The sequence below is a fragment of the Homo sapiens genome, chromosome 11 (assembly GCF_000001405.40).
Source record: "Homo sapiens chromosome 11, GRCh38.p14 Primary Assembly".
Taxonomy (NCBI): domain Eukaryota; kingdom Metazoa; phylum Chordata; class Mammalia; order Primates; family Hominidae; genus Homo; species Homo sapiens.
Genome location: NC_000011.10, coordinates 58,566,135 through 58,589,991, shown reverse-complemented (window position 1 = coordinate 58,589,991; position 23,857 = coordinate 58,566,135). Strand labels below are relative to the sequence as shown.

General features: G+C 38.2%; 2 protein-coding genes and 1 long non-coding RNA gene across 14 annotated transcripts in view, besides 11 other annotated features; 1 reads left to right on the top strand and 2 right to left on the bottom strand.

Annotated features, from left to right (window-relative positions):
* Window positions 1-10,878, bottom strand: part of ZFP91-CNTF (ZFP91-CNTF readthrough (NMD candidate)) — a 46,620-nt gene extending 35,742 nt beyond the window's left edge. The window contains exons 1-2 of the long non-coding RNA NR_024091.1: window positions 10,370-10,878; window positions 5,108-5,136 (exon numbers count right to left, since the gene is read on the bottom strand). This is a non-coding gene — a long non-coding RNA (ZFP91-CNTF readthrough (NMD candidate)). The remainder of the gene's footprint in view (window positions 1-5,107; window positions 5,137-10,369) is intronic.
* ZFP91 (ZFP91 zinc finger protein, atypical E3 ubiquitin ligase) overlaps window positions 1-10,929 on the bottom strand; it is a 42,488-nt gene extending 31,559 nt beyond the window's left edge. For both annotated transcript variants that reach the window (NM_053023.5, NM_001197051.2), the window contains exons 1-2: window positions 10,370-10,929; window positions 5,108-5,136 (exon numbers count right to left, since the gene is read on the bottom strand). In NM_053023.5, coding sequence (NP_444251.1) covers window positions 5,108-5,136; window positions 10,370-10,710 — 370 coding nt within the window. In that variant the 5' untranslated portion in view covers window positions 10,711-10,929. The remainder of the gene's footprint in view (window positions 1-5,107; window positions 5,137-10,369) is intronic.
* Window positions 9,860-10,551: an enhancer, noted in NCBI's record as "H3K27ac hESC enhancer chr11:58346914-58347605 (GRCh37/hg19 assembly coordinates)". NCBI's record gives its function as "activates a minimal SCP1, AML or CMV promoter by ChIP-STARR-seq in naive and primed H9 embryonic stem cells {active_cell/tissue: H9 hESC(naive and primed)}" and the evidence as "EXISTENCE:reporter gene assay evidence [ECO:0000049][PMID:30033119]".
* Window positions 9,860-10,875: a biological region, named in NCBI's record as "H3K27ac hESC enhancer GRCh37_chr11:58346914-58347605".
* Window positions 10,456-10,875: a silencer, noted in NCBI's record as "silent region_3358". NCBI's record gives its function as "represses an Ori minimal core promoter by ATAC-STARR-seq in GM12878 lymphoblastoid cells {active_cell/tissue: GM12878}" and the evidence as "EXISTENCE:reporter gene assay evidence [ECO:0000049][PMID:35858748]".
* Window positions 11,101-23,857, top strand: part of LPXN (leupaxin) — a 52,021-nt gene continuing 39,264 nt past the window's right edge. For 4 of the 11 annotated variants that reach the window (NM_001143995.3, XM_017018579.3, XM_011545393.4 and 1 more), the window contains exons 1-2: window positions 11,859-11,973; window positions 19,279-19,436. In NM_001143995.3, the coding sequence (NP_001137467.1) occupies window positions 11,946-11,973; window positions 19,279-19,436 (186 nt within the window). In that variant the 5' untranslated portion in view covers window positions 11,859-11,945. Of the gene's footprint in view, window positions 11,693-11,858; window positions 13,259-14,135; window positions 14,233-19,278; window positions 19,437-23,857 lie in introns of those variants that run through there. The other 7 variants (NM_004811.3, XM_047427883.1, XM_011545394.4 and 4 more) reach the window with 4 other exon arrangements.
* Window positions 11,245-11,937: an enhancer, noted in NCBI's record as "NANOG-H3K27ac-H3K4me1 hESC enhancer chr11:58345528-58346220 (GRCh37/hg19 assembly coordinates)". NCBI's record gives its function as "activates a minimal SCP1, AML or CMV promoter by ChIP-STARR-seq in naive H9 embryonic stem cells {active_cell/tissue: H9 hESC(naive)}" and the evidence as "EXISTENCE:reporter gene assay evidence [ECO:0000049][PMID:30033119]".
* Window positions 11,245-12,075: a biological region, named in NCBI's record as "NANOG-H3K27ac-H3K4me1 hESC enhancer GRCh37_chr11:58345528-58346220".
* Window positions 11,296-11,525: an enhancer, noted in NCBI's record as "active region_4739". NCBI's record gives its function as "activates an Ori minimal core promoter by ATAC-STARR-seq in GM12878 lymphoblastoid cells {active_cell/tissue: GM12878}" and the evidence as "EXISTENCE:reporter gene assay evidence [ECO:0000049][PMID:35858748]".
* Window positions 11,556-12,075: an enhancer, noted in NCBI's record as "active region_4738". NCBI's record gives its function as "activates an Ori minimal core promoter by ATAC-STARR-seq in GM12878 lymphoblastoid cells {active_cell/tissue: GM12878}" and the evidence as "EXISTENCE:reporter gene assay evidence [ECO:0000049][PMID:35858748]".
* Window positions 12,096-12,175: an enhancer, noted in NCBI's record as "active region_4737". NCBI's record gives its function as "activates an Ori minimal core promoter by ATAC-STARR-seq in GM12878 lymphoblastoid cells {active_cell/tissue: GM12878}" and the evidence as "EXISTENCE:reporter gene assay evidence [ECO:0000049][PMID:35858748]".
* Window positions 12,406-12,455: an enhancer, noted in NCBI's record as "active region_4736". NCBI's record gives its function as "activates an Ori minimal core promoter by ATAC-STARR-seq in GM12878 lymphoblastoid cells {active_cell/tissue: GM12878}" and the evidence as "EXISTENCE:reporter gene assay evidence [ECO:0000049][PMID:35858748]".
* Window positions 14,144-14,193: an enhancer, noted in NCBI's record as "active region_4735". NCBI's record gives its function as "activates an Ori minimal core promoter by ATAC-STARR-seq in GM12878 lymphoblastoid cells {active_cell/tissue: GM12878}" and the evidence as "EXISTENCE:reporter gene assay evidence [ECO:0000049][PMID:35858748]".
* Window positions 14,204-14,263: an enhancer, noted in NCBI's record as "active region_4734". NCBI's record gives its function as "activates an Ori minimal core promoter by ATAC-STARR-seq in GM12878 lymphoblastoid cells {active_cell/tissue: GM12878}" and the evidence as "EXISTENCE:reporter gene assay evidence [ECO:0000049][PMID:35858748]".

The following is a 23,857-nucleotide window of genomic DNA, read 5'->3' as shown; positions in this document are numbered from 1 at the left end:
GTGTCGAAGATGGCAATAAGTTGAGCTGTAATAGGCAAATTATTATAAAGTTAAGACTCATTTACCTGATAGGTAATCCCATAACTGAAATAAGCTGATGATCAAGGCTTTTTAAGCCTACATCACAATTCACATATTATAAGTGACATATATCTTTATTTGTAGGAAATTAATAATGGAAAAGAACCAAAGGAGGTTTGGATGTCTGAACTAGCAATACGGATTAAAGGATCTGGGCCATACCCAACATGGAACAAGATGTCTGAGTAAATTATTCTCATACTAAGAGAAATAATACAGTTACTGCTACCTTAAGATAAAAGATTAGGAAGGAAGGACAAACAAAAATGTCTATCTACTGTATTTAGCCTTTGAGGCTTGAACATTATATTGTCAGAAACTTGAGTTTCTGAAACCTAACTGAACTACTCTGTGTATTTCTATCACTAGCTGCACTTTGTTTTCCATAAATAATTAAAGTTTGCTTTGAAATATTAGCCAATCTCAGTAGTATTAAGAGAAGCCAGGGAAAGAGGCTTTTGTTGTTGTTGTTGTTTTTAACTTACATTTAAATTTAGAACAGTATCATTTAATTGGTAAAGGGGAATATTTCAGTTAAAACTAACAGGCTGGGTGTAGTGGCTTATGCCTATAAATTCCAGCACTTTGGGAGGCCGAGGCAAGAGGACTGCCTAGCCAGACCAGGCTAGGCAACACAGTGAGACCCTGTCTCTACAAAAAAATCAAAAACAATTAGCTGGAAATGGCGGCACACTTCTGTAGTCCCAGCTACTTGGGAAGCTGAGGCAGGAGGATGGCTTGAGCCCAGGAGATCAACACTGCAGTGGGCCATGATCACACCACTGCACTCCAGCCTGGGCAATAAAATGAGACCCTGTCTCAAAAACAAACAAAAAAAACCTTAAAAGCCTATCTGAGTGTTAAGACTGGGCTTATACACGCCCTTTCTCACCTACAGATTTTCCTTCCAGAACTCTTTTTCTATTCAAAACCTAAAAGATTTTATTTTGACTGGGAAAACTAGGTCATTAGCAAGGAGATTCAAAATCTTTCAAGAAAGAATTGTGAAGACAATGTTCTCAGTATCTTCTCGATTCTTCCTTTTGTACACAAACTCAAATGGTAAGAATTACAAGTTAGATTTTTCTCACTGGAATGGGAAAAAAAGCATAAAAATGTGTCTTCTGTATTTTTAGAAATAATAAAAATATTCTTTAAATATACTAGAAAGAAAGAAAAACCAACAAAAAAGTATACTATAAAACAGACACATCTGTAAAGGAAGTAAAAACAGTCAATGTTATATTGAGGTTGCAAGTTGACAAGAGGCCAAGATGAATGGGATACAAGAGACTGATTTGAGAGGATACGATAATCAAAGATATTTCAATACATGAAAAATAAAACTGTTGAAATCTATGAAAACTGTTAATAACAAATTAATTCTAATTTTAAAACATGGAGCACAGAGGCATAAGCTATAAATTAGACTGTATCAATATAAGAAAAAAACTGAGGATGTCATCCAGACAGGAGGAAAAATAATCAAAATAAACTAATACTTTAGTAATAATTACAGATAGTATGCTGATTATGATAAACTAGGTAAGGTAAATACTTAACAGTTAAGCTCCAAATAATCTAAGTAAATGCTGAGATCTGTTATGAATTTATCTGATGACTGACTTCTTTTTTCCTGACTACACAAGTTAGAGACTCACAGTAATCACTGTCAAACATCACTATTTCATAAGAGCAACTGAAAAGAGTAAAATGATTTTGAATAAAAGGTTGAGATCCAGAGTTTTATACAATCAAATTTTCAAGCATGCAGTATTTCCAAGTATGTTTTCTGTAAACTCCAGTTTTACGAAATGCTCTTTAAAAAGGGGGTCTTATAAGTCAAATAGGTTAGGTAATCGCTGCAAAATTTTGGTATTTACACTGCACATTACTCAAAAATCAAAGTTTCTGAGAAGTTCTGCAATAAATAACCTATCTAACATTAATAACTGAAGCACTGCCCACATCTACTTGATTCTACAGTATTTATTATCATTCCATTAAACATTTAAAACATACTTTAATAAACATTAAGGTATTCTGGTCTCCATTTTTATGTTTTATCTTGAGAGGCAGTTTTAACTATTATTCCTCACTAAGGACATAACAGATGGGAGAAAAAAAAATTAGGCTTCATAACATGTCTAGTCAGAGGTTAGAAAGTGAAATAAGTTAAAATGAACACTGGGATAACTAAAAATTACGTGTAGGTAGACTATTCTTTTACTTTATAATCAAAGTACAACACTGGTTCAAAACAGAGAAACAATGAAAACATAAAGCCAAGTTAAAAAGGAACTAGATCTCCATCCCTTAAGATTTCTACTAACACTCTTGGAAACTCCACAATCATGAAGATAATCCTCTGCCAGTGGTAAACTAAGCTTTCAAGTTTGAAGTAATTTTTCCTTTTTAACTTTTGTGTGGAATGTTCCTTGTCCAAATTAACTATCTGCATATTCAGGTGTAATCTCAAATGTCACCTCCACCAAAAGGTCTTCCCTTATCATTTCATCTAAACTTAGCTTTCTCAGCTCCAACTTCATCAAACATTATTACACTGTTTTGACTTCTTCATTTATTTGATTACCAGTAGAATCCAGTGCCTAGAATAGCGCCAGACACATAGTGGATGCTCAACAATTACCTGTTGAATGAATTAACACTATTTTAGCATAGTAGCTTTCCATTTGTTTTATACACCAATCACGGTTAAAAAAGGGTAGCAAAAACAGGAACTAATACTCATGTTTATTATTTCAGTTTGAAAAAAATGAATGTAGCACTTTGCAACTTAACTTTTTTTTTAAGTTGCAACTTTGCAACTTAATTTGCAGCTTTGCAAATTAATGGAAAGTTGCCTACTCTGTGTGTGCAATATTGTTTATGTGTATGTCAAAGGTTCTTCTCTTCAACTCAAAGAAGGCATACAATTTCTAGATGGTTTGAGTAAATAAGAGTAAAAACAATCCTGAAGATATCTTTTCAGCATTAATATAACAGAAGGCCAGTCTTACCTCTAAAAAATAAAACCTGTTTAAAGTTTTGAAAAACCCTTAACTTCTGAAATGAACATGAGTTATTTCAGTTAAAATTTAGCAGACTGAACATGAGGACTATTCCAGAGTACCAGAATAACTGAGAAGTTAAATGACCAGAAGAAAAGTAATTAAGGTGAATTCTAAATACGAAACACAACAGGAAAAAGTGACTACCCGAGCCTCCATTTCTTTATTCATTCATCTTGTATGAATGTTACAGTTCTTATATACCTATCTACTGTTCATAGAGTTGAACAGCTACCTTAATGGGTAAACTAACAGAGATGAAGATTGGCATTTGAGAATATCTAGATCCAGGGCCTTTAAACAGTAAAGTGGGATTGATCTTCGGATCAAATTATCCAGAATGTAGTTTTAATCTCTCCACAGCTGCACAACCACAAAACATGCCAATAAGTCAACTTCTAGTTTAAAACATTTACACACGAGGCAGGCGGATCACTTGAGGCCAGGAGCTCGAATCCAGCCTGGCTAAACCCTGTCTTTACTCAACAAACAAAAAAAAGACGTCTACCCAAAGGTCATCTACTTTTCTCTCCAAAAGGGGCTCCAAATTTCCACCTTTCTTCAAGTTCGCCTCAAGGCAACCCATAGTGATTTCTTTGGACACGTAAGGTAATTTCAGCTCTGACAAAAGCAGGTTGCTTTTTGTTTTAATCAGAATGCTCTAGACTTGTTACCTGTCTCTATATTTTCTCCACATCATAAAATCTCCAAATTGATCTCTGAATAAGAAATGTGAGACCTTCCATTTTTGGCAGACATAACCTATTTTCTAAGTAACAACAACAGGAACAAAAAACTTGCTAGACAAAATAATCATGCCAAGGTTTCTAAATAAAAAAAAAAAAATGCCAGGTATGAAAAACCTCTGCCTGCTATACTATGAAATATTAGACTCACATTCCAAAATTCAGAGAAATAAGAAACCTTAGCATTGAAACCTAATTATTTACAAAGCAGCCACCACCAATGCAAGTTATTGGTTCTTAAATTACACTATCATTCTTCCATATGGCACAAAATCCAGGCTTTAAACTTGCCTTATACGTTCTCGAAGAATTATTTATCAAGAACAGAAAAACCTTAAGATTCTCATGTACATGTAATACATACACTGATATATAAAATGCATATACATATATTCTTTTATAGAAATAGTAGCAGGCTATAAGCAGACCTTAAAAGCTATGGATACTAGGTGGATTCTAGGAGTTTGGAAACTGGCTGTGTCAAGCCTGGGTCAAGGTCACACGTAATAAAAGAAATGTGCCTAAAAGTATATTTGTTCAGTTTTAAGGAGGATGCTGTGTGTTTGAATTTAACATCAAGGAACACAGCCAAAAACTAGAAAAAAACAAAAATGAAACGAATAAGCAACTGGTCCAACACGTTAGGGCAATTTTAATAACCTAATCTGCAAAGCCAGAATAAAGTATTTTAAAAGTTATTGAAAAAGTGAACATTAGCTTCCTGTCATAATCCAGGAAAACAGAAAACTATAATACATACATCTGGTGTGCTAACACTCAAACTTAAAGGAAAATGACCTAATATTGACCTAATTTAATTATTCACCAGGCTGAATTCTTAGAACACTCAGCATTCTTCACCCTGTAATTTTAATCTGTATTTCTACTAGCATAAAAATTTTTGCCTTCACTTTACTCTGTATACTGTGTATCATTCCAGTCTGTTACCTCATTTAAAAATAAAAGGCTTAAAAAAGTTACTATAAATTACCATCAAACAATCTGATTTGCCTTTATTAGGTTTCTAAATAATGCCAATATACTCTATTATCCAAACGTGCTGTCGTCTAAATATTTTCTAACTCCAGTAATTTTTTACCAAATAAAAATTCCTTTTAAATGGGAACCAATTTGAATGATGAGGCTTTCTAACAGATTAAAAGATAATCAGTGTAATGTACGCTAGAGGTAAGGATGACCAAGTCTTACCTTTATCAGTTGTTACTTTTTCTATGCATCTGAAAGAAATAAGAATCAAACATTAATGAACAATCTAGCACATTTTCTGAAAATATAAATATCTCTTTCAGGTTCACCTCCAGAGTGATAAAGAAAGCATCTAGACTAGTGTTGTCCTACAGAATTTTCAGCAGTGATGGAAACATATCTGCACTGTCCAATATGGCAGTCACATGTGGCTACTGAGCACTTGAAACAGTTCATGTAATTGTGAAACTGAATTTTTAATTTTGATTAATGTAAATTTAAATAGCCACATGTGGCTACATAACTGACAGCACAGAGCTAGAATATCATTCAAAACACCTATTTTTAACTAAGATATTGATACAAAGAAAATATTACTAATTTTGTTACATTAAGTGATTATATAAGAAAATGTTCTTATTTTATATAAATGTACTAACTAGAGATGAAATGATGTTTGGGATGTGCTCCAAAATACTTCTGCCAAAACAGGGAGGATGGACATAGCAAGCATGGCAAAATCTCAGCTAGGTGATCAATACTGGGGTTTCATTATACTATTTTCCCTATTTTGTGTATATTTAACAATTTTCATAATAAAAACTCAATGAAGTGTTAAAAAGACCCTAAAATTGTTTGTTAAGACCAAATCAAAATCTACTTGTAAAAAGACAATAGGTGGACCTCACAAGTAAATGTAACTTGCCCTTTACAAATTAAAAAGCAACAGTAAAGAGCTTAAAAATTGTTATAGCCTGAAGATTTTTTTAAAAACCCCCAAAACAACAAAAATCAGACATATCCCCAGGTTTTTCATTCAGAAAAATTTCTCTCATACGTAACTGGTGAGGACAGTATAATGAACTTCCTATACTTACTACTAAAATTCAAAAGTCAACAGGCCCTGAACATTTATCATATAGATACCACAGAGTATCTCTGAACAGTACAAAGTTTTTTTGTTGTTGCTCCTCCCAAAAGTAAACCTAATATAGTAAAGACTCTATTATGTTACAATATGTTATAAATAAATACCCAGACAAATACAGAAGCCACAGTGTAATACAAAAATCTATTCTACTTAGAAACAATAGTTATCACTGTTTGTTCCATACTTTTTTAAAAAAGACTGGTATTATAATTTTATTTTAAATCACATTACCAATGTCCCAATTAACACACCATAACTGCTAATCATCCCATCTTTAAATAAAAACTGCAGAAATAATTGCTAAATTTTTGAAAAATTATATAACAAACTTTTCCAAAAACCTTGAAAGTTGGTTCAATGTTTCTATCATCATACTGATTAAGATCCTGATCACAGGATTTCAGTCTTGTACAACTGAAGGCTTCTCCAAAGAACTGTAAGTTTTTTCAATTCAGAATATTACCACCTCTTCATCCTCACTATCCATGACCTTCAAAAGGGAAACAGCAAGAAAGGTCACCTAAAGGTTTATTACTGTTTTAATTTTAGCAAGAAAATATACCAAAAATGGAATTTCACATACTAGAAAATAAAACTACTTTCCTTAATCTGAACCTGAAGGAAGACATCTAAAAATACTCAGTATTAGCTAATATGGTTACTCAACAGCGAAGTTAGAATTTTTAAAAAGTATTTGTCCCTAAAGTTTTAAGTTTTGAAATGCACAGGATAAATGAAGGGCTATTACATGTAAGAATGAAAAAAAGCCTTATACATTTTAACCTAGTCTTAATTTGACAATTTCATTCCCTACTAGCAGAACGCATGGATGAATCAGAAAAAAATCATAGGCAAAAACTAGTATACTAATGCTACTAGATTTTACTTCAAAAATTAAAGACAGTATATAAACGTGCACTTGAAATAACTGTAATTTACTGGCTAACATACAGCAAATGATCAGTCTTACTCTTAGTATGGATACATAAACTTTCTTCAAATTTGGTTTATTTTTCCTACTAGCTTTCTATGCTTCAATTTATCATGATTCTAGCATTTAACTCTGTGCTTCTCTTGAGCACAATGAAAAATTTTTATTTCCCCTTCATCCACAAATATTTCCTCTTCCCAATAACCCCTAAATAGTTCATTGTGAAAAGAAGTTGTTATAAACATCAGATTATAAAAACTGTAAGCTAAATATGTCATCTCGCAAATTCATAAAATATCAATTATAAATGAAGCAATTATAAATGAAGAGGTTAAGTGACTTGCTCAAGGCCACTTACTGCACAGTACAAAGCTGGAACATAAAACTTTCTGACTAAAGTCCAATGCTTTATCCACTCTATTATTTTGCCTTCCAATGGGAACAGAGGTTTCAACCAATCCAAATCTATCTATTTCTTGACCTTTTAAACTATGGTATACTTTACTATCACTTTAATTAAGAAAATCAAATGTAGGTTAAACAGCTGATTACTAAGATTGTATACAGGGAAATGCTGGGATATGGAAAAAGGACTAGCGCGAACAAGTAAGTAATACAGAATAAACCTTCCTTTTTAAAATTTTCAAAATGTCATTTGGAAAACAGAAATGACTCAAAGTCAAAGATACCAGACCAGGGTTTGGACTCAAAACCTCTTGAAATATCTTAAAGGATTAAATTATGTAGAAAAAATTAAGTCTTAAAATGTATTTTATGACTGAAAATCTGTATACCATACACACATTTGACATATCTCCACTAATTAATGCATCTTTGCCTTACACCCCAAGGTCCTTGAAGATGAGGGCCATGTCTCATTTTTCTTTCTACCACCTAGTTCAGCATAGTACCAGGCCCAGATACTGATGAAACAAGTTTGCCAAGCTAAAATGCTTTAGCATTCCTCTGATTTCCAGATTATGGAATAAGGTAAAAATGTGTAACAAAAACTCTATTATGACGAAAATTTGTTTAACAACCTGATCAAAAACACAGTCAAGAGATAATTTTGGGGCTGAAAGAAGAATGCCATTGTCACTACTGTTTTCTAATGATATTGGATGGGAGGCGGGTGGCGCTAAGAATTCAGCCTTATTTCTTCCTCCCCACAAGGAACATTGTGCAGAAAAAAGGAAGGAATTTAATTAAGTCATCTTCATCCATATACAACAGTAACAGTTATATGGAATTAAAGCGTCACTAGTACTTTGTTGCCAAGAGTTAGGGCAAAAATAAATCATGACAGCAGGTAAAATTACTGTTTTAGATAAAAATTATTTATTTTCCTTCAAAAATTAAACAGCAGGCTGGGCGCAGTGGCTCACGCCTGTAATCCCAGCACTTTGGGAGGCTGAGGCGGGTGGATCACCTGAGGTCAAGAGTTGGAGACCAACCCGGCCAATATGGTGAAACCTCACCTCTACTAAAATTACAAAAATTAGCTGGGATTGGTGGCGGGCGCCTGTAATGCCAGCTGCTTGGGATGACGAGGCAGGAGAATTGCTTGAAGCCAGGAGGCGGAGGTTGCAGTGTGCAGAGATCATCGTGGCACTGCTCCAGCCTGGGCAACAGAGCAAAAACTCCATCTCCAAAAAAAGAAATTAAACAGCAGGTACCATTTTAGACATAATTATCTTATCTTGAGATATAGGTATATTTAATTTTCAAGGGGTAGGTGAGAATAAAAGGAAATTTTAAAAATATTTTAAGTATTACCCTCTCTACGAATAGTAATATTAAAGAGTGAAAAAATCATATTTTGCATAATTTATATGAAAAACCTCACTACAAACCACTCAAGGATCTACCATCCCACCATTACTGAAAAACGCAACTTGTACTTAGTATTTACAACAGGCATTGTGTCTAGCACTTTACACACTGTATTTAATTCTCACAAACTCACGTTGCAGAGATTATCCTCTATAGGTAAGGAAACTAAGGCATGGGTAGGTTAAGGAATTTGCTCACGGAATTCATATCCAAATGAGGTCAATGATATACATGTATCTTTTCAAATTCATGAGATTAAACAATATAGAACTATAAAATTTTTGTAAGATGAAATGCATCTACAGCAATTAGAAGTCTAATTGCAGCTGAATCTGTAAGTACAGATTTTTGCTGTCGACAGAACTGCAGTTCTTACAACAAATTCTCTAAATTATGTTAACTTAGCTGACATTCAAAAATTTGAAAGCATATCTAATACCACAATATGATTACCTCTGAATTTTATTTCTCTTTCTGAGAGGCTTCTAAGGCAAGCATGCCAAGACACAGGCTTAACTCTTAATTTTGGACCAAGTCTGTTTCAAGTTTTAAATCTATTAGGTCTGGTGTAAGTCAAACCTTGCCACTATCTCTACTGGAAGAAAGGGAACACTTAAAACTGACTCCCCCTCACTTCAATTTTCTCTGTTTTTACTAATCTGTTTTCACTCAAAAATCAAAGGTCACTAATGATGTTTTCAGTCATGAATTGAATAGTCAATGTGATTAATTTCTAGAATTTACAAACTTGTGTGCTTCAGTATTCTTAACATGAGTATTATTTTAACGAACAATTTAAGACAATGCTCCTGGCCACCTGTTCATGTTTCCTCTATTACGTCTAGGTAATAAAGGAATTCCTCTCAGATGATTCTAATTTCAAGGATGAAGTTCCTACATTTAAAAACACGAAACACAAAGATAAAACATATGCTACTTAGTAAAAACAAACATTAAAGAATGCTCATATAATTTTATATGAAAGACTCCATACTTAAAATCGTAGCAGTGGGCTTTTAACCTGACCATAATAAGTGGCAAATTTCTCAAAAGAATGAGAAGGGTTGCGAAAAATTTAGAAAAGTGAAAAAAAAAAAAAGCTACATAAACACACTAGTACATCTGGCTCTTGAGCTAACGCGAAGGCGGGGGGGAATCATTTTTGAAGGCTATGATCGGGCTGTGTATTCCCTAAAGGGCATGTGATGTAATACTGGAGAGCCGCCTAAAGGAAAGGGATAGGGTGACAAAGGGGGTGCGGATGCCAGAAAGAGGGATGAGCCTGCGGGTGTCAGGGAGGAGGTGGATCACTAGCGAGTGCAGGGGTGTATCAAAAGATGATTTCGGGGAGTGGGGAAACGGCCCGACAAGCGAAGGTACAGGAGCGAGATGAGGGTGGCGCAGAGAGGAGGCACGAAGGCTCCCGGGGAAACGGTGTGACATCTGGCGTGCGGAGCCGGCAGGGGGCAGACCAGGCAGGATGTCACGTGGAGTAGGCGCTACGGGAGCCGAGAGGGTTGCGTACGGACAGAGGGGGGTCTTTCCCACCGCCTGAAAGACTGTTACTCACAGGAGTCGCGGACTCTTCTTGCCCTGAACTGGAGACGGGGACTTCGCGGCCTGGGGCTGCTGCCCGGGGACGTCGGGAGGCCTGGCGCTGGGGCTGCTCCTCCGCCGGCGGGGATACTCGGCCTTCCTCCGGCGGGACACAGCTGCGGCGGCGGCGGCCGCAGCGGCCCGGCCTCGGTCCCGACCTCCCCTCAGCACGCGGCTGCTAGTGGTCCCTGCAGGCGCCGCCGCGACCGCCTCAGGGGGCCGTTGTTGGGGCTCCTCCGGAGCCGCCTTGGCCGCCTCTCCCCCTTCCTGGTCCTGCTGCTCCGGGGGTCTCGGCTCTTCCGTCTCCCCCGGCATCGGGGCTTGTCCGTCCCCCACCCCCTAGTCCTAGGCGGCGGAGGCGGAGGCGGCGGCCTCGGCGCTGCTCCCCCCGCCCCCTCGCCTCCCGAAGCCTGCGGCTCACTCTCACCCTGCGCTCCTCTTTCCCCCCTCCCCTCCGCCCGGCTCCGAGGGCGCCCCCCCCACCCCCTGCCACTCAAGGTCCGCTACCGCTGGCGGCGCGCGCGCGCGCGCCACAGACGCTCAGCGGGCCAATCGGAAAAGAGGACAAGCCTCCTCACCCCGCCCCTCGCAGTCTTACACGCAGCGGCGCCCCAGGTTCCCTCCCCCACCCCTTCCTTCAGCCAATCAGGAAACGGCTAAAAGGGGAGCGCGCGAGGTTTCCTTCCCCGCGCACCCGTTCTCACCGTTAAACGGCTGTGTCTCGCGACAATCCCAAAGTGACCTTTTTCCCCCCTCCAGACTTCAACGCGCGCTAGGGGCAGTGCGAGGGGCAGGTCTCGCGAGGGAGGCGGGTGAGAAGAAATCGCACCTCTTTCCCCGCCTCACGCAAACCCTAGACTGGCTGCGCGCGCACCTGCCTCCCTGAGGAGCCACTGATACCACAAGGGCTCTTTCTATTCTTCTTTAGGCCGCAGAAGTAGCCTGGGCGTTCTTCCGCCTCCACCCTACCCCACTTTCCTGTCTTTGGCCTTTCTGTCCCCAGCGCCGCCAGATCTTGCGCGGAGAAGGGGGTAGTATTTTGAGCTGTCGCTTCTCCTTTAAGAAAAAAAGCCCCGTCGGTTGCCGGATGAAAGTCTCTGAAAAAATGGCGGCGGCAAAACGGAGGCGGGGTTGTGGGGGCAACGAGGGCCCGCCTCTTGGCGCATGCGCACCGTTAACTTAACCAAGGGCATTCTGGGAGATGAAGTCTTATTTCGCCTAGGCTTTAGGAAAAATAGATGGGAAACCAGAGGTGGAGAGGATGCCGGGAGGTTCTAACTGAGTCACGACGGGAAAGGTAGTTTACTTTCCGCAGTCTAGAGTTTACCTTTTTTTCGGGAGGCAGTGTTTCCGGGTTAGGTCGCGACGCGTGCCGTACATCCGGGCTCAAGCGTCGAGCCAATTGCTGGTCTGATGGGAGGGTTTTTCCTACTTTTTCTTACTTTTTATCTGGGCGTTGGCGTACCTTTCTCGGGGTGTCTGCGTAACTGCCCAGACTTGCCTTGGTTTGGTCAGATGACACCTCCTCTGGGACTGGCTAGCCAGCGTTCATGTCTACATTATTGATCTCGTCTTCCGGTGTGTGAGTCACTCACCTGTGAGCTCCTAGAGGTCAGCGACTAAATCTGGTTCCATGGGGTCCTTGGGCCCTCGGAGCCCTAGCACAAGGCCCACTACTCAGTTGGCTCTTAATCAAATCTGTGAAACGAATTATAAAGTTGCTTTTCTACTAGACCTTGTTGGGACACCAAGGAGCCGGCGTCGGTTGCTTAACTTGGATGCGGTGCCTGACCTAGAGGGAGGCGAAAGGGTTGTGAGCGTGACATGACTGGTGACCTACACCGAGAAGCTGAAGGGTCTCTTAAGCTCTGCGGCCGGAAGCCATCTGCTTCTGCGGTTTATACAATAGCAACTTTATCAGAGGTTACTTTTCTGCACGCTAGCGTATGACATTAATTTGTCTTCCTGATTCATCAAAGGGAATTTCCGTTGCAGTTGGTGATGCAGTGGGCCTCTCCCATTTCTTTTTTCTTTTCATCCATTACAATCAAGGAACGATTTGCAAGAACATCCTTTACCCCTGGAAAATAAGGCATCCAGGGCTAAAAGTCCCAAAAGAAAGAAGCTGGAAACAAGATCTGGGGATCCAATTTTAAATTTCACATTAATCATTCAGTTAAACTGTAGACAAGTGCTGAAGTACATTTTTCCTTCCAGTACTTTGACTCAGATACCACTTCATATTAGACAAATGTTTTATATTCTCTACTGAGTATTTTCCATTTTCATAGGGCTAATGTCATTTTCAGTTGTAATAATCGATTGGCATAGTGTCAATGGAAATTTTTTAAGATTGAGTTTGTAGTGAGCAGACTTTTGGAAGGAACAGTGCTGACATCCAATGGATGCTCAAAGTAATACAGAGGAGGAATCTCCTTTCAAAAAAAAATGTACAGACAGTGGAATGGAGAATGAATTATTCCCTAAAAAAAAAAAGCCACTGTGGGCTGGATGTGGTAGCTCACCCCCGGAATCCCAGCGCTTTTGGATGCCAAAGTGGGAGGATCCCTTGAGCCCAGAACTTCCAGACCAGCCTGGGCAACATAGGGAGACCACCCTCTACATAAAAAATAAAAATAAAGCTTTTAAGCTAACCTGGTGGCGTGATGGGATGCACCTCTGGTCCCAGCTACTCCAGAAGCTGAGAAGGGCAAATCGCTTGAGTTCAGGAGTTCGAGTTGGAGGTTACACTGAACTATGATAGTACCTTTGCACGCCAGCCTGGGTGACAGAGAGCTTGTCTTAAAAAAAGTAAAGAAGGCTACGGTGTTGTAGAGGAAAGATCCCAGACTTTGCAATTATAGTAAGTAGCAAAGCTACCAATTAATTATCTTAGCAAGTTGCTATTACATGAACCTATTTCACCATTGGTAAAAAGGGGGAAAAAATCTATTTCACAGGGCCATAATTATAGTTCCTTACGTATTGCTTTTTTATAGTAGGCCTTTTGTAAATGTTTAATTCAAGGTGAATAAATCACAGTGGTAAAAAAGGTGAAGAGTTAACCTCAGTGTTACTTTCCAAAGAAATTGCTATAAGGCAGTGTATCTAGGCAGGGATTATGCTTAATTGAGATGCACACAGTTTAACATCTGGTGTCAAACCTGGCTTCCTTCTTTGTGACCACCCTATAGATGTTTGCTTTTGGGACCACTGAGTAAACCAGGCCCTGAGAATCCAAGCATGAATCCACTTCTGCCCTACTTTTAAGGATTTACGTTCCATGCAGGAAAGCAGATAACCATAATTTCTGAATAAATAAGACAACAAAATGAAATGGATGCTGGTCAACTCTGATGCAAATTTTAAGAAGGAGACTATGCCTCTGTGTCTCCCAGCTTCACAGAAAAAAAAAAAAGAAAAAAGAAAGATGCTCAGAGTGGGGTACCTACACTTGGAAAAAACGCAAGTATAAGTCTGCCATTCCCATGAATCCAAGATGAATCCTGGCACAGAGTAGGTCCTCAAATTTTGCAAAATTAATTTTGAATCTTTATCACCCTGGCCAATGCACTGCCATAATGCAAATCTTACTATCTACCTTTCTATGTCAGTCACATTTTTAAAACTGTGTAACCTATGAAAAAAAAAAAAAAGCTCACCAAATCAAAAGAGAGGAAGTGCTAAGCAAATACAGGAACCAAAAAGGTTTATAGAGGCTGCCTTATGCTGTCTCATCCAGTTCCTTTGCGGTCCTCTTCTTCAGCACATGCCAAAGCTGTTCCTCACGGCCTGTGAGACAAGAGCATCTTGGATGTAGGACAATGGAAGAGTTAGGTGAGTGAGGAGCCTGAGGAGAAACTCTGAGGGAGTGAAGACTTGGCTGCCATCTCCTTGTGTGGTGGGGTATACTTCTGGCTAGACTGAGGGTAGTAATGGAAGATTTTATTTTCACTTCTTTCCTGTCCTCAGCCCTGCCAAGAGTGAAGCATGAGGAACTATGATTGTTTTGGGGAACTATGGGTTCACTGTTTGCAGTGGCAAAATAGATGGAGAGTTTGGTGCTAACCGCGGAATAAACTCTTGGCAAATACTTTTGGACTGGATTGTTACTGCAGTTGTTGTCTTGTTATGGGCGTTTTGCCCTTTGGAGGTCACTGGAGATCAAGGGTGGCCACATAGCGAGACAATGCAGAGATATGATTTGAGGAGGAAAAGAAAGAGCAAAAAGGGAATTGGGGTGTTATGAGGAAGAAAAGACGGACTAGAAGTATAAGAATGAGGGATCTGTAGAGGTTGGAAAAAGGCCAGAGTGGTTTCATTTGTTCCATGTTTTAGTATTAAATCAAGAAGGCATAGCACTCTAACTCTAGTGATTTTGTTGCTAAGCTTTTTATTCAGAAGAATTCTGAAGGAAGAGATTACTAGGGCCTGAAAATATGACACCTCCTTCCACTCTAAGACAATTAAAACCAGCAGTGGAACTATTAACCATATTAACCAGAGAAATCCTGGATTTCAAACCTTTGGAGTAATGTAAGGTTTGTCATTCTTGGGACTCATTCCATAGCCTTTGCCAACATCTGTTGCCAGCATCTTAACTAACACTGAGTCACTAAACTATACCCAATTTCCAAACTGTATTAATTCCACAGTGTCCTGGTTTGGGGTGTGTTTGGGGATAGGGTATGTCAAAAGTGCAAAAAACAACAACAAAAAATATCTTGCACATTGTTACATTGTCTTAAAAAAAATGGCGTGTGATTTCAAAGCTGGAGAAACAGAGGAAAAGTAAAGGGCAAATTACCAGGAGGCAAGAGATGTTAATGAAGAGAAAAAGGTAGTGTTTAATAAATATCAAACTGCTTTGGAGGTAAAGTCTATTTTGATATTGGGCCAGACTCTTTTTTGGACTTGGGGTAGAATTCTATTTCTTATCCTACGTGAGTGCTGGGAGAATGTGAATTTCTGCTTGAGTTCTAGTAGTGCTAGGGCCTTTTTTCTTTTTCTCTTTCTTTTTTTTGGGGGGGATGGAGGGGACACCGAAAGGCTTTCATGGCAAATAATTCAAAAGGAAACTAATACTTATTTAGTAAATCAAGCAAAAACTAGACATTTTTACATATGTTAATCATTTTAGTGTCTGCAGCAACCCTCTGAAATAGGTGTTATCCACTTCTTTTTCAGATGAGAAAACTAAGAAAAACAAAATAACTTTTTCAATGTCACTGTCGGGAACACCTGACACCAAAACTAAGCAACAAGGTGCTCTCCTATTTTAGAAGTTTATTGGTTCTGGTGTCTGTCCAATGAAGTAACCCAGATTTAACAGAAACTTATATTGTTTTGCATCTCCTGAGCAGGCTAAATGTTAGGTAAATCTTGTCTGGAAATACAGAAAGTACCAAGTAGCCTGGAAGCTAATATTTGTGCAGATTATCCAGTTGGCTACGTCTCCACAGGCTGTTGATGGCTACACTTCAACAGTTTCTTCAAATTGTCATCAGCCCAGTAACTACCCTTGAGACTTGGTGTGGATCTTTCTTCCTGCTGGCAGAGAAATGGCATCGAGGACAGGTTGGCTCAAGTGAGCAAATATTTCCTGTCTGCAGTGGTGCCTCAGAGGCTAGCAGCTTGTATACACCCAGAAGGTTTTACCTAAACCCTCATTACGTAGGCATTAGGCATGATAGATAAAGAGGAACCAGGAGCAGATTCTGCCTCCGAATGAAATCCATGCAACCCTCAGAGACTCCCAAGAGACCTCACTTTACTCCTTTCATGTTAATATTGATATTATTTCATCTCCACAGTAAAAGACTACAGAGAAGAATTATGGAGTCTTCAGTCTAGTCCCCACTTCCCCCGCCCCCACTCTCCAGGAATCCCATATTTGTCATACTGAAATTAGTCATCTTCAAATTACAAAATCTGGCAAAAGGCATAATAACCTCACAGTGTTGGTGATATGCACACTCATATGAAACAGGAAGAGAAAAGCCTATAACTCATGACCCAGAAAGAAGGGTTTTGATAACTTTGGTTAGCTGGTGCTTCTGAGGGCAACTTCCTACTCTTTGTGGTATGGTTTCTTCTCTCTTATAATCTTTATTGTAAATGGCTTTTTATTTTGAGCTCAGGAGGATCTTTGGCTTCTAGTTAGAGCAAAGCTTAGAAAATAGAAAAGAAAGGGGCTCTAGCATAATTGAAAGATGTAGAATAAAAATTCAAAATTCTCAAATTTGGTGTGGGGTCTGGCTAATAAAAATCTGAGGCAAAAAGTTTTCTTTCTTTTTCTACCTTAGTTTTCTTTTCTTTTTCTTTCTTTTCTTTTCTTTTTTTTTTTTTTTGAGACGGAGTTTTGCTCTTGTTGCCCAGGCTGGAGTGCAATGGCACGGTCTCGGCTCACCGCAACCTCTGCTTCCCAGGTTCAAGCGTTTCGCCTGCCTCAGCCTTCCTGAGTAGCTGGGATTGCAGACATGTGCCGCCATGCCTGGCTAATTTTGTGTTTTTAGTAGAGACGGGTTTTCTCCATGTTGGTCAGGCTGGTCTCGAACTCCCAACCTCAGGCGATCCGCCCGCCTCGGCCTCTCAAAGTGCTGGGATTTACAGGCATGAGCCACCATGCCCGGCCTATTTGTCCTTCTTTTTAAAAAACTTCTATTATAAAGAAATTTAAGTATGCAAAAGTAGAGAAAATAGTTTAATGAATTCTGATATACCCATCAACCAGTTGAAACAATCAGTTCTTCATCAGTCTTACTTCATATATATGCCCACCCATTCCTTTCACCCCTGTAATTATGTTAAAACAATTTCAGATGTCATTTTATCTGTAACTATTTTAACACTGACCTCTAAAATAAATATATATTTATACATATAACTGTAATGCCATTGCCATAACAACAGCCTTAATATTAATTCCTTAATATTGTAAAATACCATTATCACACCTAAAAACTTAACAGAATTAATTAATATTATTAAATATCATTATCACACCTAAAATAAACAGTACTTACTTGATATTATTTAATATCCAGTCAGTGTTCAATAGTCTTGATTGTTTCATTTTTACAGTAGATTTAATGATCCAAATAAAGTTCATACACTGAAATTTATTATAAGTCTCTCAACTTTTTAATGCCATAGGGTCCCACTCATCTCTTTTTTCCCATTACAGTTATTCATTTGCCCGAGAGTTTAGTTCAGTTTGCTTATCTCTAAAATGGTACATAAAAGTCAACATTTTTGATAAATGGATGATTATGAAAGATCTGTATATTTCATTTGTTAAAAAAAAAAGGATTAGATCTCTTCTAACGCCATTAAGAAATATTCATTCCTCCAAAATCTAAAATAAATGAAAAATCTGTTTTTTTTTTAATGACCTGTGAAGTTTATTTTCCTTATCTGAGAACTTTAGATGTAGGCAGGTCCTTAGAAATAATGTAATTATGTGTTTAAAGTTTGAAAGCTAAAATCTGTGGTAAGAAGTCCGCTAGAGATCCACTAATGCATTATTGAGCCATAATTTGAAAAATACTGTTCTAATCAAATTGCCTTGTTATGTAGATGAGGAAACTGCATCAGAGAAGGATGTGACATGCTCAAGGTAACCCAGAGAATATATATAAGACAGGAGACTGGAACTTCTAACTTTTAGTTAATGCAGGGGCTAGGGATCAGATAGCCCAGATTCAAGTCCTGGTTCTGCATTCATGCGCTTAAGCAAATTATTTTTGTCTCTTTCTTGTGATCTACAAAATAAGGACAATAATATCATCTGCCTCAAAGTGTTAGGATGATTAAATGAAATGTGTAAACTCCTGAGCACAGTGCCTGGCATGTGTTAATTTTTATTAATTATTATTTATTTCATTGTAACAGATAGATACTAGTATATAATACTTTTCCAAAAAAAAAAAAAGAAAAAAAACTGAAAGAGTAACAAATCCCAACTATTTAAATTGCAACATCTTACTTGATTTTGCAATATCTCAGTTTTATCCCCAACCATTTTTTCTCTCCACACCCTAAAAGACAGGATACTTATACCTTGCTTTGAAAATTTTGTTACGTGCTCAGGATAATTGTTAAGATTTAAGAAAAAATATCATTAGGATTAAGAATAAGTGTTATTTCCCTCGTATGTTTTGAAAAATGGTAATATAATTGCTTCTATTTTTCTGATAGAAAAAAGCATTTAGGATTTATTTATTTATTTATTTATTTATTTATTTATTTATTTTTTGAGACAGGGTATCACTCCTTTGGCCCAGGCTGCTGGAGTGTGGTGGCGTGATCTCGACTCATCGCAGGCTCACCTAGGCTCAGGTGATCCTCCCACCTCAGCCTCCCAAGTAGCTGGGACCACAGGTGTGCATCACCATGCTGGGCTGACTTTTTTGTATTTTTCATACAGACTGGATTTTGCTATGTTGCCCTGGTCTGGAACTCCTAGGCTCAAGGGATCCTCCCGCCTCAGCCTTCCAAAGTGCTAAGATTATGGGCATAAGCCACTATACCCAGCCCAGTTTTATTTTTTTCTAATTAAGGATATTTGTGGGGAATCTACCCTAAATGAATGATGAAAATTAATACCTGTGGTATAAAAAATCAAATTATAGCATGAGACTATGAAATTGAATGCAACCATAGAAAATAAGAAACAAACCACAATTTATGGAGGTGTTAAACATTTCTTGGTAGGATTCACCACATTCTTGAAGTGAAATAAGGAATAAGGGAAAGTATTTGAAAATAGCCATAATTGAAGAAAAGGAGATGAATGTGGGCACAGTGAAGATATTTAAGGAGAAAATGACTGTAGGGATTTAAATATTCTCTGTCATGATTCTCTTGCTTCTTATGGTGTAGATGCCTTATTGGAGGAACTGGAACGCTCCACCCTTCAGGACAGTGATGAATATTCCAACCCAGCTCCTCTTCCCCTGGATCAGCATTCCAGAAAGGAGACTAACCTTGATGAGACTTCGGAGATCCTTTCTATTCAGGATAACACAAGTCCCTTGCCGGTAAATTTTCATTTATTATAGTCCTTAAACATGGATGTTTGAGTGCATTTCTGAAAATTAACAGAATCCCACATAAAATAATATGAAAGGAGAATAATATATCCAAGAAAGAGAAAAAATAATGCCTCAATGTTAATCTAAAGATGTTTTTGGAAAGAGGAAGAGAATTGAGAAAATCATCACAGAGGAATGAGTTTTTGAGAACTAAATTTTTTTTATTTTTTTTATTTTTTTTATTTTTTTTTTATTTTTTGAGACAGAGTCACACTCTGTCTCCAAGGCTGGAGTGCAGTGGCACAATCTCGGCTCACTGCAACCTTCACCTCCCAGGTTCAAGCGATTCTCCTGCTTCAGCCTCCCAAATAGCTAGGATTACAGGCACGCACCACCATGCCCAGCTAATTTTTGTATTTTTAGTAGAGACGGGTTTTGTCATGTTGGCCAGGCTGGTCTCAAACTCCTGACCTGAGGTGATTCACCCGCCTTGGCCTCCCAAATTGCTGGGATTACAGGCATGAGCCATCACGCCCAGCCGAGAACTACATTTTTTCTAATGAGCACATGGTCACAGGCAGAGTATTGCATTCACTGGGGATATTCTGATGTTACTGTGGGGGCATCAGAGATGCCTGTTGCAGTTTGACTGGAATGGTACTCAGGCCAGAGATCACCTGAGGAAGGCCAGGTGGCAGCATAGACAAGTCTTCTCAGGGTGACTTTTTAGGGTCACTACTTCCCAGGTCTTATTTTCTGCTGAATAGATTAGGAGATTCAATTATTAGTTTATATAGAGATGATGAAGCTCTAGGGAACCAACTCAAACTAACCAAATTGACAAGTGATTATATATATATTTTAAAAACCTAGGGCAGGTGCAGTGGCTCAGGCCTGTAATTTCAGCACTTTGGAAGGCTGAGGCGGGGGGATCACTTGAAGCCAGGAGTTTGAGACCAGCCTGGGCCATATGGTGAGACCCCCATCTCTACGAAAAATTAAAAAATGAGCAGGGTGTGGTGGTGCGTGCCTATGGTCCCCGCCACTCAGGTGGCTGAAGCAGGAGGATTGCTTAAGCCCAGGTGGTCGAGGCTGCAGTGAGCTATGATTGCGCCACTCCATCCCAGCCTGGGCGACAGAATGAGAGCTTGTCTCAAAAAACAAACAAACAAAAAAAAAACAAAACTCAGAAATCAAATTTACAGTTAAAGCTATCAAGTAAAACAGCTATATTTACTCATATATGCATTCTCTTCCTATGGATAAGTCTATATGGACGTACATTATAATTAAAAGGTTGCTTGATGAGAATGGAATTAGTGTAAGATGAATTAAGTAGATGCTCTTCATAGCTGGTAATTTTGTACTATGATATTTTGATTCATCATTGTTCCCTGTATGAAATAGCCAGAAGCACAGACCTGAAATTTGAGCTCAGGGGTAGTTTACGCCCTAACTGTTCTTTTCTCCAGACACATACACAATTTTAACGATACGAATTTATCTCTCTACTAGGGAACTATTGTCTTTGTTCTCAGTGTTAGATTATAGCTGTAGGCTCCTAAGTGGTCTCCTGCCCTTTGCCCCACTGCAGTCTGTTCTCAAGCAGCCAGGGTCACCTTTAAAAACTAAAGTCAGACCCTGTCATTCTTCTACTCAAAACCCCAAAATGACTCCCATCTCATTTGGAGTAAAAGCCATAGTTTCATGTTGATCTTTCTGGGGTGACCATATATCCTGGTTTACCTGAAAGAGTCCTGGGTTTATGCTTGTTTTTCTCACATCCTATTAACTTTACTTTTTACCCCAGATCTTCAATTTTATTTAAAGTTTTCTTATCAGTATTTGCATTAAGTAAGCCACTATGGCTTAACAGACCTCCTTCCAGCTTCTTCCATGGTCTCATCTAGCAGCGTATGAAACACATATTCAGTGAACAGTGCTCTTTTTTTTTTTTTTGAGATGGAGTCTCTTTCTGTCGTGCAGGCTGGAGTGCAGTGGTGCAATCTTGGCTCACTGCCACCTCTGCCTCCCAGGTTCAAGTGATTCTCCTGCCTCAGCCTCCTGAGTATCTGGGACTACAGGCATGCACCACCATGCGCAGCTAATTTTTGTATTTTTAGTAGAGACAGGATTTCACCATGTTGACTAGGCTGGTCTTGTACTCCTGACCTCAGGTGATTTGCCTGCCTCAGCTTCCCAAAGTGCTGGGATTACAAGCACGAGCCACTGTCCCCAGCCAAATTCTGACTTAATTATGGTTAAATGCAAAAGATGGCTAATGATAACTTGTCTTTTTTCTTGATTCTGTTCAGATGAAACCTAGCTAGCAGCAACCTTTCAAGAATTATATGCAGGGTGCTGCCTGTTAAAGCTAAGAGCTCAAGCACAAGTACCTCTTCTGATCTTAGGTGGTAGCAGAAGAATTTCTGAGGCTTTTCCCCCTGCTGGCCACTTTGTGAACCACCACTCATGCCCTCATGTGGTCGTGTGGTGGGTGGCCTGTGAGATGCGTGGAACCTCCTCAGAGTCAGTAGAAAATGGGAGAAATTGTGGCTTAATGTCATACAAATTATGTTTAGGAAATAGAGGCTAAGTAATTTTGCCATAGAGTATAGTGTAACCTAATTGTTTTATTAAAGCAGTTTTGTTATTATTTGTATATGTGAAGCTCTATTTGTTTTATTATATGGTAATGCCTTTTGAATTTTACAATAAACCCTTTCAGCAGTTAGCTCAAAACAAAACCCACATGTTTAATTGTCTCAAGAAAGCTGATAATGAATATGCAACGTGCAGAAAATATTTTTCAATATTTACCATGTACCATGCAGGCAAGTAGAAAGATCACTATCCCTTTGAAAACCAGAAGGTACAAATATGGTGAAGCAGCTTTGGCATCTATTTCCAAAGTTAATAATTTAAGAAGAATATGCCTTAAAATGACTTCAACACGGCAGCTGCAGGAGGCCTATGTACATGTCATTGTGAAGCACACCTTCCCATTAGTATCAAATAACTCATAAATTAATTTTGCTCATTTTCAATTCCAAGTTTTCTTGTACTTGTAAGTAAACTGGTAATAATTAATGAGTGATTTTCCTTTGCAAACCTTCAAATAATGTTTTTTATAATAATTTCCTTAGAGGTCTCAATTCAAAAATGTATTAATTCTGAAATGTTTCAATTTTGTTTTTTATCTAATTCAAACAATCAAAATAAAATATGTGAAAATTTATTTCCTAGTCAAAAAGTGAAACATCTGACATTGTTAATGCCACTGTAAATTTAGTTGAAAAGCTCAACATTGAAGGTAAACTGTTGTTTTTGTTGTAAGAATATGAATACAAATGTTAATAGAGCACAGCATTGTGTTAAAAATGTTCTTACCAAGTTAACAAGCTATGAAGCAGAAATGTACTTGGAATTGGTTGTAATGTGCACAAAATTTGTGACTGCATTCAAACAAGCTGCGGTATTCTGTCAGTCAAAACAGAAACTAAAATTGTCAAAATGTATAAATTATAAATATATATATACACACACACACACACACACACAGATTTTATAAGTAACTGATCTACAAAACTTTTCTGACAGAAGCTGATATTGAACACTACCATGCAAGGAAACATTTCAGAATGACTATATGTATATTCCTGTCTGTGTTGCATGTCATCAATTGGATTTTGGGAATGCCTGAGCCTTTGAAAAACCACTTTGTAAAGCAACCCAAATTTAGATTGCATTATGTTCAAGACCAGTTGGAAATTTTTAATCGATTACTGAATGAATGTAGCATGAAAATTCAGCTTTTGAAGCTTTTAGCAAGTTACAATTATGTAAAATAAGGCTTGCAAAGGAAGAAGCTCAAATTTCTCCCTACAAAAGCGAAGAAGGAGTTGAACAAATCAAAAGATGAAAGCAGATATGGTTTAATTATCTATTTTGACAATTGTGCTTCAGAAAAATCTTGACTTTGATGTATTTTGACTTCTAATTTTATTTGGATAAATTTTTATTCTCTACCAAAATGGAGAAAAATTGTGAAAGTCTATGATTTTGCAGTATCTAGATTTGGTGAAATGTTGAAACAATCACAGATATAGACAACTTGAAAGTTTTATCTTGTAAGAAATTATTGAGCAAAAGTGCTTTGAATGAAGGTAGAAAGACAGCACCTATGACGATATTGGCCTGAAATATTTACATATTTTAATCTAAAAAATGAGAAGATTCTTCATTTAGCAGAACTTACAGGTTCATCAGTATCTAGAGAGGAAATGTGTTCTCAGTTAAAAACATATAGTGAAGCATCAATTAAAGTTGTCCATAATTTCAAATATATTAACCATAAAATGAAGTTTTGAAAAAGATTGCAGTTTTATAAAAAAATAACTGTTTAAATAAAAAACGAAAAAAAACAC